The sequence below is a fragment of the Homo sapiens genome, chromosome 2, assembly GCF_000001405.40.
Source record: "Homo sapiens chromosome 2, GRCh38.p14 Primary Assembly".
Lineage (NCBI taxonomy): Eukaryota > Metazoa > Chordata > Mammalia > Primates > Hominidae > Homo > Homo sapiens.
In genome coordinates, this window is record NC_000002.12 from 51,585,716 (window position 1) to 51,603,299 (window position 17,584).

The 17,584-nt window shown below is 33.9% G+C and overlaps 1 long non-coding RNA gene across 1 annotated transcript in view; it reads left to right on the forward strand.

Moving 5' to 3' along the window:
- Positions 1-17,584, forward strand: part of NRXN1-DT (NRXN1 divergent transcript) — a 1,375,317-nt gene that overhangs the window by 553,115 nt on the left and 804,618 nt on the right. The gene's annotated exons all lie outside the window — the stretch shown is intronic.

Sequence of the window (17,584 nt, forward strand, 5' to 3'; positions counted from 1 at the left end):
AAGAGATCAGTTTATCTATATGGTCCTCATTTTATGTATCTGCCTATTGTGAAGGCTGCACAATGATTTTCAATTACATAATTCTCTGACTTTTATAAGTCATATATAAGGCCCTGGGGATTGTACAATTCTCTAGATCCCAGAAGTAAATCTCTTGAGAAAGTAGCTTGTTATGTACTAAAGACTTATCCAAGAAGCAGATTACCATACTCTTATGGTCTGTCTTGAAGGGTACATTTTATATAATTATTTATATGTCTACTTAATGAAAAGCCACACCCAAGTAATTATATTTCCAGTTGTAATTATGTCTTAAGCCCATGGAAATATTTGGCCAGCAATAGAGATTTTTTAATATAATTTGTATATTGACATCTGCTCTTTAACGCTTCAAAGAAAAAGAGTGGTTAAGAATGGAATACATATCCATTGAATGGGCTGCCCATTCACGACTCAGCTCATGGAACTAACAATGGATTAAGCATTAGTATGAAGACCTTATTCCCTTTCAGATTCCCATTTCCTTCTTCTAAGATGCTAATGAAGAAAATTCACCCTTGTTAAAATTCTAACTACCCTAAATATATTTCTTCAGAGATTAAATAGAATTCAGTGGCATTGGCTTCATCATTGTAACTATAAATATTAATATTTTGTCTTTCAAGTTTGCTGAGCATGTATAATCTAGTGAAATCTAAGTGATTTTTAAAAATTATTATTGATTTTTGAGAAGGCAGCTGAGCTTTGCCACCAGCAATGCAATCTTACTGCATTTAACACATACAATAAGATGTAAGTAATGTATACATGAAACATTTCAAAGAAATGAATAGCTAGTATCCCACTAAGCTTCCGCTTGTCACAATCTCTTTCCAGAAGGGTTATAAATGTTAGCAATAAGAAAGCTAACTGTTTCTGTGTCCTCAGTAACACATTCTAGTCTGTCACACAACATATGAGCAAAGAATCAGCAGAGATGGATGATGAATGATCAAATTAAAATCCTTCACACTCTTAGAGCAAATATTTCTCATGCTGACCATTTATCCATTTACTATTCTTTTGCAAAAACTACTGTACCCTAGAAGTCTGAATCCAAATTTGCAAAAAGTTTCCAAGCTTAGAAAATGATTTTTAGCTCTCATTTATTCCCAGCATCTACAGAAAAATAGATAAATTATAAAGTCTTATTATTAGTAACTTCATGGATGTTATCTAGAATCAGTCATGAGCTAAATTGGAACACACACACACACACACACACACACACACACACACACACGTTTTCTTATGATGGATGTAACATGAGACCAGAAAATATAGATAACATAATCAGTCTCTCGCAAATGGATTCAGAATTTACATGTGATGGGATCTCATGCGTTTCCAGGCAAGAGATCAGGTACAGCTAAAAACATAGGTTTGTTGAGAGTAGGCAGATACCTATTGATACTCATATTCTGAAACATAAATTGGTATAGTGAATATAGCATTTTCATTTTATTCAACGTGAGATCACTTATATTACTTTAGTTAGCTTTTCGGGCATCTCGACATTAATTATATTTAAAATTGATAAAGATATGATATTATGGATGCAAATAAGTCTCCTAGCACACCTTACTTCCTGAAGGTCTAGCATAACCTAAATAAAGGTAGAAAATGAAAATATGAGGTAGCAAAAGTACTGTTACTGCATACATCAAATCAGATGACTGCTTGGGGAAAAGTACCACAGTGTCTCAAGCTCATTTGAAAGGAGCAGCTTTTGAGCCATTTTTATGTCAACTACCGACCCTGAATTTATATCATCATGGAAATATTAAAATTCTTCTGTTTTTTAAGTTAAATTTTTGTTATAAAATTATTTTCACTTTTAACTAGCATTAAAAAGCTTGTGTAAGGTCGGTATAAACATTTCACAGAATAATCAAATGAGCAGTCATTCAATTATTGACAATATAAAAAATGGAAATTTACTGCAGTCTTTAAAGTATCCTGTATATGCCTCTTGCATTCTATCCATTATCCTTTTCCCTGTATTAATACTAGCCTCAGTCACTTACATGTTGAAAACACTTTTGTCCAAATTCATATTTTCCACCCTTCCTTTATTGAATTTTTAAATCAAAATAAGATGTTAATTCTTCTAAATTTGAGTTCTTATTTTTTAGAGTATATATGTATTATAGCTTGTTAGATCATTCCTTACACTAAAAATATGAAAATACTCTTCCTAAATTTTCTTTGAAATGTTTACATATTTGCCTTTGAATGGATTTGAAATTTATTTTTAAGTATGGTGTGAGAAAGATACCTGTTTTAACTTTTTTCTTATGAATAACCAAGTGTCACAGCATTATTTACTCAATACCTTTTTAGAACACCACCTTCATCATATATTGGGTTTGAATGTAGGCACATATTTATTTACGGCTTATCTGTTTTGCTCTACTTTTCTATTTTTTTCTAACCCTATACCAACACATTGCTGTTTTAATTACTATACCTAAATATTTTGAAACAAGGTAGAGTAATACTCTCAACTTGGTTCTTCATCCTTAAGAGAGTCTTTGCTATTCTTGTTGTTTTACACTTCCATGTAAACTTTAAAATTTAAAAAAATGAAGACTGGCTAAAGATTTGAGTGGAATTTGGGGAAGTATACAAATTATCTTCTGGAAAATTTACCTTTGTTATAATATAGTATTGGGGGATGTTAATATTAAATGATGTGTTTATATTTATTCAAATATCATTGACCCCTAAGACAAATAGCCACCCTTAAACAATAAAAATGAATAAATAAATATCTTGTTACTCAGAGTTGTCATGTCTATGAATTATTTCCTCACAAATATTTTTAGTAAAAAGAGACACTATTACTTTTTAGAAGAGGCACTATATATTACATACAGTGTTGTCATCTAATCCTCACAATAACTCTGAAAATATGTATTATTGAGTACCTGTTACAGAGGAAACATTTGAATGTCAATACAGTAAATAATATTCTCAGAGTCAGTAAATGAATAAGTGATGTGGTGTCATAATTGAGTATGGAATACATACTAAAGGCCATTCTGATCCCATATCTAAATCAGAAGTTCTTTACAGCTTTCAGATTAACAGAATCAGGTACCTATTAATTGTTAACAATAGTAAAAGGCCAGTCCTTAATTTTTCCTTCAAGTGTGTTATTGTTTAGAAGTCTAAATATAACTTTTCTAGATGTATATTAATATTGTTTATTACACACTATTAATATACAGATATTGATTCATATGTTTAATATGCTTTTCTAATTCTATGTTAATATTGATATCTAAAATTAATTAACAGAAACTGTGTATTTCAAGAAGCCAGTAACACTTTGCTAAAGTGAAATGCCTTTTGTGTAGCATACTCCCTTCTGACAGAAAGAGAAGCAGCTAAAGAAACAGTATGTTTGGGAAAATATATTTTGTGATTCTTTTCCAGTGCTTATATTTTATCAGTCCATAACAGTATACCAGGCTACAAAGAAAGGTAATTTTTTAAAACTCCGTTAGACAATGATTTTCAAATTATTTTCTTAAAACTCATCATTGTAATATGTAGGATACTGTACATCTTTGATTCCATAGTTGATTTAGGTTTTTGCCTAAATGAATACATTAGGTAGTAGAAGAAGTTGGTAATTATTACAGGTGAAAAATTTCTTCCCATCAAAAATGGGCTAGGGTATAGCTGGTATCATTTATCAATGTAGTGAATAACTTTGTAGATAGCTTTCACCACAATTGTAGAAGGTGGTAGACTGCCCATCATAATGCTAAAATTCATGAAAAATATTACAAACCAACACACCAAAAATTCAAGAATTGTCACTAAGTACCTGGTGGCTATAAGACCATTTATCAGTAACCTATGGTTTTGTTCTCCCCACACATTTCAACTAATTAGATTATCCAAAAAAAGCCTTGTTTCTGAAAGAAATGTGTTGAATATTGTTTAATATTAGAGGCAAAAAAGAACAGAGGAAAAAAATAACAGAGGTTACTTCCCTTGTTTTTGACTCGCAGCAGAGTGTCATGGCTGTACTAGAGGGCAATTAGGTAGAAAGATGATACAGTTATCAGACGAGACAAACTTTTAAGCCTCGTCTCTCTAGCATTTAATGTTCTCTGAAACCCATCTCAAATATCACAGAAAGGATAGAACCTTAATATTAGATAGAGGGAAATTTTATTAGATCTAAGTGTTTTTTAAGAAATTGTCAAGAAAGGCTTTCAAATATATTCTAACCTGGTCTTAGATTCCACCATGACCCCTGGTAGAAGAAGTACACTGTGAAGCACTGTTGATAGATGAGTGCTCAGTGGTGAACTACTAGAATGGGCATGCATTGCTTCCATGAATTTATAAGTAGCAATGTGGCATGTTATTCTAAAAAGTAAATAAAATTTAAAAATATCATTTAGCTTAAAGATTACATACATCATGATATAATATGTGTATGTGTATAAATATTATGTAAATCGTTGATGTTATGTTTTTTATATAGTGTGTTCAAAGCTCAGATAAATTTGAAGAGACCAAAGAAGATTCAAAACTTTATCCCTAACAACTGAAGATAACAACTTCTGATAATTTCATATATATCTTACAGCCTTTTTTATACCTTTCGTCAGTTATTGGTAAATCATAAGCAAATTAGAGGAGAGTTCTTTGAACAAATAATTTGCTGTATGTATCCTGCCACATAAATTATCCAGAGAAAAATAGTAAGCCGCTGTTTGGCAATTTTCTTAGGAATGCATTCTCCAGTGTCTAATGTCCCCATCCCTTGCATGAGTAGATTCTTCAACATAGAACTTGAGTGTCTTGTGGTTTATGAGGGCTCTATATCTGCATCCCTCATTTGAGGACAGACTCTTCCAGCCATGTTTATGTTAGATGATCTCACCAACGGGTGACCAGACTTGGAATGGGAGGATTCTTCAAAGTTGGGCCAGAATCTCTTTCTCATTAATTTAAACACAAAAGAATCAGACAAAGAAAGGGAGAAAAATAACAGTCTCCATGACACATAATTAAGTGTTTTATCACCCACTATGTCCTGCCTTACAGTGTAGGGATCAGAAAAAGATCACCTCAAGAGAGGATTGAAGCAGATAGGTAAACAGACAAAGCAATGAGGGATGGAAGTAAGATGCCGGAGTTTATAGAATCTTTCTAATTTTGAGGTAGAGGTAACCCAGTTCTACACTTTTAATGTATAAGTTGAAATGTAAGCTCTGTTTTGTTTCATATAATCAAATTTAACTTAATATCCCTATAAATCCCATCTTCTGATGCTATCTGTATCTCTGCTGAGATTATGGTGATTCCACAAAGACAAACTATCACTCTTGAAAAACATTTAAGTGACTAGCTAGTCTAGCGTGTCCTGTCTCTGAAAAAAAGTAAAAAAAAAAAAAAAAAAAAAAAATTCGTATCTTAGTATCATAATACCAGCCTATATTTCACTTACCCTGTATCTATTTATGATGGATATCATTTATCAACTAGCCTTTTTTTTTTCTTTTATGATTTTAGTCTGATTTGTTGGAAATGTGCTCTGGTTGAATGTAACATGGGGTTCATTCTACTATTCTTCTAAGCCTTGGCTCTCTGCCCATTTCTATCTGGCTATGATGTTTCACTTGTGTGTGTTTGTTTTTTTTTTAACTAATTGGAAAGTTATTAGTATGAGTGATAGAAGGAGGAAGCATAATCAAATCTGTCAAGGAAGTCACATATTTATTACCTTTCAGAATATTTGATTTGGTATTTTTGTGGAATGTTGCAAATTTTTATTTTAATTGTTCACAAAATCCAATAGAAGTCAAAATACCTGTTCTTTATCAAGCCAAAATTTTACTTGAATAACTTCAGTTATTTTAAGATAGTGGGAAGAAAATGGGATCAAGAATAGAACAAATAGGACAAGTAGCTGCACCACTTGTTACCTCTTTGGCCTTAGATGGTTACTATCATTCTTGACCATCAATTCCTTGTCTATACCTTTCAAGGTTCTTGTGAGAATCTGAAGGATCCTTAAAGTTCTGGCATATAATGGAATATATTAATCTGTGGCAATTATTCCAATAAATATTCTATATTAGTATATCAATCAAAACCGTTTGAGTTAGAGTCACTGTCTTCTAGCAAAAATTTTCTTTATCTTCTTTTATATATGAAAAGTGGATCCAAATAACAGTTGTTCCCCTACAATGTTCTTTTGAGCCATTTCAGTACCCATCATATCTATGTTATTACCATGCTAGAAGCTAAGTAGTGAGGACTTCTTCTCTAGACATTTGAGAATTTTATAAAACTGTACAATTTTAAAAGATTTTTATAACATCATAAACGAACTTGACACCTTAAAAAGCTTTAAGATATTTTTTAGTTTACCTTTCCCATCTCTGGTAACTTTTGCAAAAGTGTTTAGAATATGAATTGAACAATTATAAATGATACAAAAGTTTAAAACTGTCAGATTTTATTCCGAAAGTAATGTTGGGAAGTAATTTAATAAATTAATCAAGTTAACAATATTATGTGCTGTTGCCTACATACACTGTACTAACCAAGATAAGTAAGGCTACAGAAATGAAAGCTATTACAATTGAGTTAATTGCCAAAGATAGGTCATCTATACTCTATGTAAAAGGTGTGGCAATGGTAAGTTTTCCAGAAATTCCCACAGTGATCCTGGGGTGCTGCTTGTTAGAGAAGACTGGCCATAGAGTCAGGGAACATTGATAAAAAATTTGGTTTGGAGAAAGTTATGAGCATTATGCTAGTACATGCACAACAGTGACATAATTTAAGGGTTGTGGATGGGAATGGACAAAGTATAAATGCAAGATTCTATGAAATGAAATTGAGGTATTGGACCAAACTTGTAGACTAGAATGTATGGGTTATCGTGAAATGGCAAAAACCTTGGCCAGGCACGGTGGCTCATGCCTGTAATCCCAGCACTTTGGGAGGCCGAGGTGGACGGATCACGAGGTTAGGAGATCGAGACCATCCTGGTTAACAAGGTGAAACCCCGTCTCTACTAAAAAAAATACAAAAACAAAATTAGCCAGGCATGGTGGCAGGCACCTGTAATCCCAGCTACTCAGGAGGCTGAGGCAGAAGAATAGCCTGAACCTGGAAGGCGGAGCTTGCAGCGAGCCGAGATCGCGCCATTGCACTCCAGCCTAATCCCAGCACTTTGGAAGGCCGAGGCAGGCGGATCACGAAGTCAGGAGATTGAGACCACGGTGAAACCCCGTCTCTACTAAAAATACAAAAAAAATTAGCTGGGCGTGGTGGCGGGCGCCTGCAGTCCCAGCTACTCGAGAGGCTGAGGCAGGAGAATGGCGTGAACCTGGGAGGCGGAGCTTGCAGTGAGCCGAGATCGCGCCACTGCACTCCAGCCTGGGCGACAGAGCGAGATTCCGTCTCAAAAAAAAAAAAAAAAAAAATAGCTTTTATGAACGCAACCAATGATACCAGTTACGAATGAAGATAGGTTAATTTATGTGTAAGTATGCATATGGGGGGATAATAAAGCAATTTCTATATATCACAATACAGTCTCCGTATATGTCAAGAACTTGCTGATTAATACTTGCATTATGGGATGATATTAAATGAATGTGTCACTGATTGAAAACAAGAGCTGTTGTTGGGGGCCCAGGTACTCACTTTTAAGAGTTTACTCACTTTTTCTTTTCTAAATTATGAAATGTAAGCCACAGGCAGTTTGGACTATCAAGATATGAGCAGCTGAAGATGATGACAGGAAAAAGAAATGAGAGAAAAAGCACTCTACGAAGGTCAGCTTGCTGTCTCATTTGCAGCAAAGTTTTAAAAGAAAAATATTAGAGCTTCGTTTATTAAAAAGGAAAACTCTTCTAAGAACAACTGAACTAGAGCAAGTAAAATTTTTCTTCAAAAAATATATTACCAACATTGACAGGAGATTCAACATATTTAAAAGAAGGGAGATAGAAAAATTTGCTGGAGGCAAATGTAAAGCAATAATGAGATGTTCTTGCATAATGCAATAAAAAACCCTTTTATAGAAACTTAGAAATTACCATCTTTGAAATAATACAGAGATTTCTCTAAAACTTGACAGCACTGTCATTATCTCAGAAAAATATATAGAAACTTCTTTAAGAATAATGATGTTTAAAAACCATGAAAGAGAGACTTTTGAAACTTGGACACTATTGTGTAGTGATTTGTAGACTATTAACAATAAACTGAGTGACATTTTTATCTGTCCAATCGTGTCATCAGAAGCTAAGATGTCTGAACTAGCAAACCTCCAGTGTTATTGGGAAACGTAACTGACTGTGATATGAAGTGGATGACTTTTTGTGTGTGTGAAACTTGTAAACTATTTCCCTCTGTTTATAACTGCTGATTCTTTCTTCGTGCCACCTCCTTACCTTTCTCCTTCCTTTAAACAGCCTTTGAGTTCCTCCAATTTTGTTATTAACAATAACAGACAAGTGAGTGTTCATATATAATCTCAGAATCACTTAGAGGGAATATATAAAAGGTAAAAATGGGGCAGTAGATGTAAAGATTTTCTCTTTGCAATATTTCAAAACTGTCACCTTTTAGTTGTTTTAAGACTGATGGTTTTTTCACATAGTTAAAACAGAAAAGCAAAACCACCTAATCATTCACTTAAAAATTTAGGATTTTTGTCCTCCTTCACTAGCTCACATTTATGCTTAGGATAAATTTAAAGACAATCAATTGAATGTTGAAGAAAAATTTTAAAAATGCAAATTAACCAGGATTCCTGTGTACTAGAATGTTTTGAAGCCATAGTTCTCAACCAAAAAGGAAGCATTAAATTCATCTGCTGAGATTTTTCAGACTACACATCGTCCCCTTTATTTACTCTGCTTTAGTGCTAAGCTCCTTTTTTGTATTATTTGTTAATGTTTTTGAGAGGGGAAAAAATGGAAGTTTTGGATTATCAATATATATATTTAATATTTTCTTAAAAATATAAGTTGACAGCAGAATAGTTATATTGTAGATGTTGGCTCGGGGCATAATATAACATACATGAAAATAAGACCAAATATAATTGAGGTGTACTTTTGCAATAGTAGAGTGGGCATTTCTAGATCAAGTTGTAGTAGAAAAAAAAAAAGGTAGAAAAGTTCACTAAAAATAGTAAGTTAAAATAAATCAATCTTTTGTACAGAGCAAAAAGGCAAAGTACTAGGCCTAGTAGCCTGGTAGTTGTCCAATTAATATGTGGGGTAGTTTTCAGCCTAAAAATAATATGATAGAGTTGAGGAAATAATGTGTTGAATCACAAGACAATAACCAATTATGCTAAAATATGCAGTATGGATTGATCTAATATCTAAGTGATTTTTAATCATTGTACATATGTAAGTTGTATGTCATTCTCTCAGTTTTTGGAAACTTTATATGGAGGAAGCTAATGAACAATTAAGAATTACCTCAGAAGAGAAAAGAGGCAAATTTATGTCTTGGAAAAGGAGCTGATATTGAAAGATGAGTTCAAATATTGTGGCTGAACAAGAAGATATAAAGATTTCTAAATTTCAAATTTCAACTATTCTTATCCAAAACGGTTAGGATTATTTGTTTTTAAAGTGGATTAATTATATTATTAATGTGGATTTATAGTATTCACAGAAATCTGGATTGTTTCTCATAATTTGCATCTATCCATACATTAAAATCTTAAATTTTATTTTAATAGAGATCGGACATATAGCAATGTGGTTTTAGTACAGTGCAAACGTCTTTTATTTCAAAATGAGAGATTTCGAACGAGTCACATAAAGACTCTTAGCAGCATCAAGTTATTTGAATAAAAATTCAGAGAGACAAGAGCATGTGGCAAGTTTAGATGTGACAAATGCTAAGAGTGACTGAAGAGGTATCATATAAATACTTCTTAGAAAGAATGTTACAATCAAACCTTACTTCTCTCAAAGACATTGACCAAAATTAGGAAGATAAGAAATTCCATCTTTAGTGACAGATGTTGTTAAGTTTGACAAGAATATCTAAAAAGGGAAAATAAGAATGATGAATATGTGACTACCCTGTTTCCTTCTCACTAGCATGTTTCTATCTGTAACACAGTGAAAAACTAATAATATATAACCACTAGAACTAGAAAGTCCTTGAAACAAAAACTGTGTAAATTTGGCAGTAGGAAAATGAGTACTAGCATATATTTAGAAGGCATAACCATGGTAACTTGACCTTAGGATTGTTCTATTTTCCATTTCCCTTGTTGCCAAGTCTGTGATCAGCATTGAATATTGCTGGATTTACCCAGATATCTTCCTATCCTGAGAAAAATCATAGAACAACTTCTACAGTGGGTCAAGAAGAAAAAAACCAACATCAGAACTTTTATTTGCCCAATAAAAATAAGATATTCAAAACTGTTTCTACTGTTTGAAGGGCAGTAACAGGTATAAAATGATCAGATTCCATACACTATACTTTATTATAACTGCAAACTATTGAATAAAACATATTCTATATCTGATGCCAGAAAACTAAAGTCACCCAAAAGAAAAAATGAAGGAAAAAAATTCATTATTAAGATTCAATTCACATATTCCATTTGCATACTCCCTGCATCTCTGAAGAAGAAAGAAATTGGTCTAGTAAGAATAACCTAGAAATTAGGAACCAAGTCATGCTGGGACATCCTTAAACTCACCCCTCAATGATTCTACAGTTGAGTCATGATCTCTGAGTAAAGGGATGGTTAGCTTGAATCACAGACAAAAATATAGAGCTCTTAGTTTCTCTAATTGCTAATTTATCCTTTAGCCTGTGTGAGAGTTTCAAAAATAGCACAAACAACAATTCGAAGCTTAAAATATCAGTCTACATATTGTGATGCAATATTACAAATAGAAAACATATAGAGGCCCTTCTTCTCTTTCTCTTCAGCCCTCATATTAGAAATAAGATTCATAAAAATGGAGCTCTGCAGGTTCAGGTTCCTTGGTCTCTGATCCACAAACAGTGGATACAAAAGAATTCTCAGACAGAATTCTGTGACCCTTCATGGCCATCTTCCTTCAGAGAAAACATCAAGAAAATTGGCTCACAGATCGTGTTTCTGGAATATATAGAAAATATCTACAACAGCATCTTATTTGTGTGGGAAACTTTTCTTATAGAGGTTTTGCTTTTTGATATATGGAATTATATTTATTACTTGATTCATTTCATATTAGCGTATAATCCCAGTGCTTCTTCATTCAACAATTATCTGTGGGACGTTTTTTAAGGTACAACGTTTCAGATGTGAAAGTTAACAAGCATGAGCCCATTCTCCTAAACTTTAGGGAGATAGAGACAATTATATTTTTTAAAAAGCAGGGAAACAAAATAATGACAGATGACAAGCATTGCTGTGCTGGTAACAAAAGGATGTTTGCTGTGATAGAGAGTAAAAGGGGGTGGAAAGCTAATTAGAATATGATGCTATTTAGGGAAAGCCTCTGGGGAGGTGATATGTAAGTTGACACCTGAAAGCTGAGAAGGGAGGAATAAGTTCAAGTATATTGAGAAAAAGCTTTCAAAAAAAGAAAATAGGAAGTACAGAGTTGCTGAGGCAGAAAACTAAAGGCCAGTGTGGATGAGTAGCTTCTGAAGCCATATGCTGAAATCAAAATTTAGATAATCTTTTGTCTTCAGATTATTTTCCTGCTGTTTATGCTTGCCCACAAAGATCTATGGAGATTTGATAGATAGATAGATAGATAGATAGATAGATAGATAGATAGATAGATTTTTATTCCCGATCATTCATCTCTATTATCCATACCTGAAAATCATAAATTTCATTTTGTTTCAATAGACATCTGACATGACTCTCTACAGCAATGTGGTCTTAAAACTTCATAAACACTGCCTAGTTCATAGTTGCATGTACTTTAACTTGCAAGGCCAAATAATGAAAATAAAAAAAAGTTGAAGAAACTATAAACAATAAAGCATAATGGATGGACATATATTTATGTTTTTAAATCTCATTGGCTTGTAATGGACACATAAAGAGGAGGGGATGCCATGGGGAAAGTAGCAATCTTGACTGTCATCATTCTCTCTCTTTCCAGTGCTAATCAAAATAAAGACTCTGTTGCCAGACAACATTTCTCCAAAATGTCACTTATTTCAGCAGAGATTGGAGTAAGAAATACATACCACAAACATTGCCTATGACTTTTGACTTTAGAACTTCTCATCAGTGACTGATGCAAATTCAACAACCTGTCCCAAACATGCAATATAGTCATAGAGATTTAAGAGACTTAAGAGAGCCCCTGATTTTTTTTTAAAATAAACAACAAAAATAAACCAGGATATTAAACCAGGTAAAACAATTGCCAAGTTCTTTAACTCTTCCCTTGGGATTTCCAAACTTGAAACAATTCCTCCTGAAAATTCACTATCTTTCTTTTGAATGTAGTCAGTTCTTCTTTTCATGATCAGTTCCTGAGCCAAGATTATTCTGCAATAAAAATATTTGCGATGACATATGCAACACAAAAAGACATCCTCAAACCACTCAATTTGTTCAGTTAAAAATTCAATTTTTAAGGATCAAAACAAAGGACTAAATCTTTTCCTCTCTCAGATAACCGTCATGTCCTTTTCTACGAATCATGGCAACTCAGGAACATAATGAGGAAATAATACATATTCAAATGGTAGTCTTAAAAGGACAGTAATTATCCACATTGTATTTTTTAGAACACCCAGACTTTTTAAGGTACTGATCTAAGGATGGTTAACATTGATTCCTCTGTAGTATTATATTCACTTGATCCCATACTGATTGCTGTTTTAGGATGAAGATTTCTTTGAAAAATATACATGGGAACACTAGAAAGTAATCAAGGCTTTCATTTCTTCTTTCTTTTGTTTTTATTTTTCAGCTTCTCTGTTAAAATCAGCCTAAATGGTAGACAGGCTGCCCTTGTTCTTGTTTCGTGCCTTATTACCACCTCTGGAATAGTACCCGAATGTCTGTATTTGAATTGTTTCTCTCTTTCACTCTCTCTGTTCCCTGCCATGTCTCAGGAAGGCCTGGGTGGAAAACCCTTTTACTTCTAACAGACTAGGAAGATGTTAGATAGATATGCATTAGTTCTTCGAATGTCTGATAAATTGCTGCTCATTCATTTATGTGTCATCCATCCTTCTAACGACAACGCCATTAACATTGACTGGACTATTCGACAGAACATTAGAATTTATTAATTCATTTAATCATTTTCTTAAGAAAGACTGATCTTTCAAAGTAGCTGCCTAGGTGAGCCAAGCAAACACTTTTCATTACTATAGAGAGGGCATCCTTTACAAGAAAGGAGTGAAAACTAGTTGCATGAATAAGTAAAAGTAGAATTTTTCCAACAGCCTGAGATATTTGAGAGAAAACACAATTAGAAAAAGTAAGGCATTCCTGGAAATAACATTAAGCAGATTTCAACAATATAGTGATAGCTCTGTAATTTATCCTAACTATCTGATCACCGAGATGAGGTAAATAACTTATTGTATTGCCATTAGAGGGAAATAGAGGAGCCACAAAACCAAGCTTGGTAAGTTACAGTGTTTTGATGTGTTAAAGCCCATTGCCTTCCTCAATAAAATAAAGCATGATACCCAGGACCAGCACAGGAGAGACAATCATCATATAGAAAAGGAAAGTTGAGTCTAGCACTGCCAAACAATTACTTCCCTTTGAGGCTCTAGCCTCTACTGATTACTGTTTATTTGACTTTGAATAAGTTACTTTATTTTCTGTGCCTGAGTTTCTCATCTATTAAGACTTACTAATAATACTAACAAACATCATTGTTGAGAAAATACAGGGTAGAACTTAAAAAGAATGTCTGAAATATTTTAGCTATTATTATTAATGCTGCCACTACCACATGGGCCTTAAGGGTTACTCTTGCTCCTTTGGTGTGTCTTCTAAGTGATTGCTTAAATATTTTTCCCAAGCAATCTATAGCTGAGATAAATTAGAAAGGATCACTTAAACAATGTGTTACTAAAGAGTCAGAGCAGGCACAAGAGAAATGAACACTGAGCTATAACACACAATTAGATCATTTGGCTTAGAAAATACAGATCTCTCATCTTCAGCTTAGACTGGCCTTAAATACCTCCCCATACCCAGCTGTTGGTTATGACACCTGGTGGAAGCTTTCATAAATTCATTTCTTTTTGAAAATATTTTAAGTTCCAGGGTGTATGTGCAGGATATGCAGGTTTGTTACATAGATAAACGTGGGCTATGGTGGCTTACTGCTCCCATTAACCCATCACCTAAGTATTAAGCCTAGCATGCATTGGCTATTTTTATTGTTGCTCTCCTTCCCCCTGTAGCCCCCACAGGTCCCAGTGTGTGTTGCTCCCCTCCCTGTGTCCATGTGTTCTCATGGTTCAGCTCTCACTTATGAGTGAGAACATGCAGTGTTTGGTTTTTTGTTCCTGTGTTAGTTTGCTGAGGGTAATGGCTTCCAGCTCCATCCATGTCCCTGCAAATGACATGATCTCATTCTTTTTGATGGCTGCATAGTATTCCATGGTGTATATGTACAATATTTTCTTTATCCAGCCTATCATTTATGGGCATTTGAGTTGATTCCATTTCTTTGCTATTATGAATAGTGCTGCAATAAACATATGCATGCATGTATCTTTGCAATCGAATGATTTATATTCCTTTGGGTATATACCCAGTAATGCATTGCTGATCAAATTGTATTTCTGGTTCTAGGTCTTTGAAGAATTGTCACACTGTCTTCCACAATGGTTGAACTAATTTACATTCCCACCAACCATGTAAAATGTTCCTGTCTCTCCACAGCCTTACCTGCATCTGTTGTTACTTTTTAATAATAGCCATTCTGACCATGATGAGATAATATCCCGTTGTAGTTTGATTTGCAGTTCTCAGTGATGTTGAGCTTATTTTCATATGTTTGTTGGCTGCATAAATGTTGTCTTTTGAGAAGTGTTTGTCCTTTCCCACTTTTTAATTAGGTTTTTTGTTTTCTTTCTTGTAAATTTGTTTAAGTTCCTTTTAGATGTTGGGTATTAGACCTTTGTCAGATGCACAGTTTGCAAATATTTTCTCCCATTTTGTAGGTTGTCTGTTTACTCTGATGATAGATTCTTTTGCTCTGCAGAAGCTCTTTAGTTTAATTAGAGTCCGTTTGTCAATTTTTGCTTTTGCTGTCATTGCTTTTGGTGTTTTTGTCATGAAATCTTTGCTCATACCTGTGTCCTAAATGGTATTGCCTAGATTTTCTTCTAGGGATTTCACAGTTGTGGATTTTACATTTAAATCTTTAATCCATATTGAGTTAACTTTTGTATAAGCTGTAAGGAAGGGGTCCAGTTTCAATTTTCTGCATATGGCTAGCTAGTTCTCCCAGCACCAATCCTTTCCCCATTGCTTGTTTTTGTCAGGTTTGTTGAAGATCAGATGGCTGTGGAAGTGTGGTCGTATTTCTGAGTTCTCTATTCTGTTCTGTTGGTCTATGTGTCTGTTTTTTGTACCAGTACCATGCTGTTTTGGTTAATGTAGCTTTATAGTATAGTTTGAATTTAGGTAGTGAAAGGCCTTCAGCAGCTTTGTTCTTTGTGCTTAGGATTGTCTTGGCTATATGGGCTCTTTTTTGGTTCCATATGAATTTTAAAATAGTTTTTTCTAATTAATTTTGTGAAGAATGTCAATGGTAATTTGATAGAAATAGCATTGAATCTATAAATTACTTTGGGCAGTATGGTCATTTTCACAATATTGATTATTTGTATCAGTGAGCATGGGAAGTTTTTCTACTTGTTTGTGTCCTCTTTGATTTCCTCGAGCCATGGTTTATAGTTCTCTGTGAAGAGGTCCTTCACTTCCCTTGTTAGCTGTATTCCTACATATTTTATTCTCTTCATAGCAATTATGACTTGGGAGTTCATTCATGATTTGGCTCTCTGCTTGTCGGTTGTTGGTATATAGGAATGCTTGTGACTTTTGCGCATTGATTTTGTATCTTGAGATTTTACTGAAGTTGCTTATCATGAAGCTTTTGGGCTGAGAAGATGGGGTTTTCTAGATACGGGATTACGTCATCTACAAACAAAGACAATTTGACTTACTCTCTTCCTATTTGAATATGCTTTATTTCTTTCTCTTGCCTGATTGCCCTGGTCAGAACTTCCAATACTTGTTGTTGAATAGGAGTGGTGTGAGAGAGCATCCTTGTCTTGTTCTTGTTTTCAAGGGGCGTGTTTCCAGCTTTATCCCATTTAGTACGATATTGGCTGTGGGTTTGTCATAAATGGCTCTTATTATTTTGAGGCATGTTCCTTTAATTCCTAGTTTATTGAGAGTTTTTAACATGAAGGGACGTTGAATTTTATTGAAGGACTTTTCTGTGTCTATTGAGATAATCATGTTCTGTTTATGTGATGAATTACATTTATTTATTTGTGTGTATTGAATCAGCCTTACATCTCAGGGATGAACCTGACTTGAAGGGGATGGTGGATAAGCTTTTTGATGTGCCGCTGGATTTGGTTTGCCAGTATTTAATAAAGGATTTTTGCATCAATGTTCAGCAGGGATATTTACCTCAGTTTTCTTTTTTTCTTGTATCTCTGCCAGGTTTTGGTATCAGAATGATGCTGGCTTTATAAAATGAGCTAGAGAGGAGTTCCTTCTTTTCAATTGTTGGGAATAGTTTTAGAAGAAATGGAATGAGCTCCTCTTTTTTGTTAGAATTCAGCTGTAAATCTGTCTGGTCCCTGCTTTGTTTGGTTGGTAGGCTATTTATTACTGCTTCAATTTCAGAACTCATTATTGGTTTCTTCAGGGATTCACCTTCTTCCTGGTTCAGAATTCTCAGGGTGTATGTTTCAGGAATTTATCCATTTCTTCTAGTTGTTTTTTTTTTCAGTTGTGTAGAGGTGTTTATAGTATTGTCTTATGGTTGTTTGTATTTCTGTGTGGCCAGTGGTGATATCCTGTTTATCATTTGTTACTTTGTCCATTTGATTCTTCTCTCTTCTTTATTAATCTACAGAGCAGTCTATTTTGTTAATTTTTTCAAAAAACCAGCTCCTGGATTCAATGATTTTTTTTAAGTGTTTTCTCTGTCTCTATCTCTTTCAGTTCTGCTCTGAACTTGGTTATTTCTTGTCTTCTGCTAGCTTTGAGGTTTGTTTGCTCTTGGTCCTCTAGTTCTTTTAGTTGCAATGTTAGGATGTCAATTTGAGATCTTTCTAGCTTTTTGATGTGGGCACTTAGTATTATAAATTTCCCTCTTAACACTGCTTTAGTTGCATCCCAGAGATTCTGGTACATTGTCTCTTTGTTCTCCTTATTTTCAAAAAACTTCTTGATTGCTGCCCTAATGTCATTATTTACCTAGGGGTCATTCGGGATATGGTTGTTCAATTTCCATGTACTTGTGTGATATTGAGTGAGTTTCTTAATATTGAGTTCTAG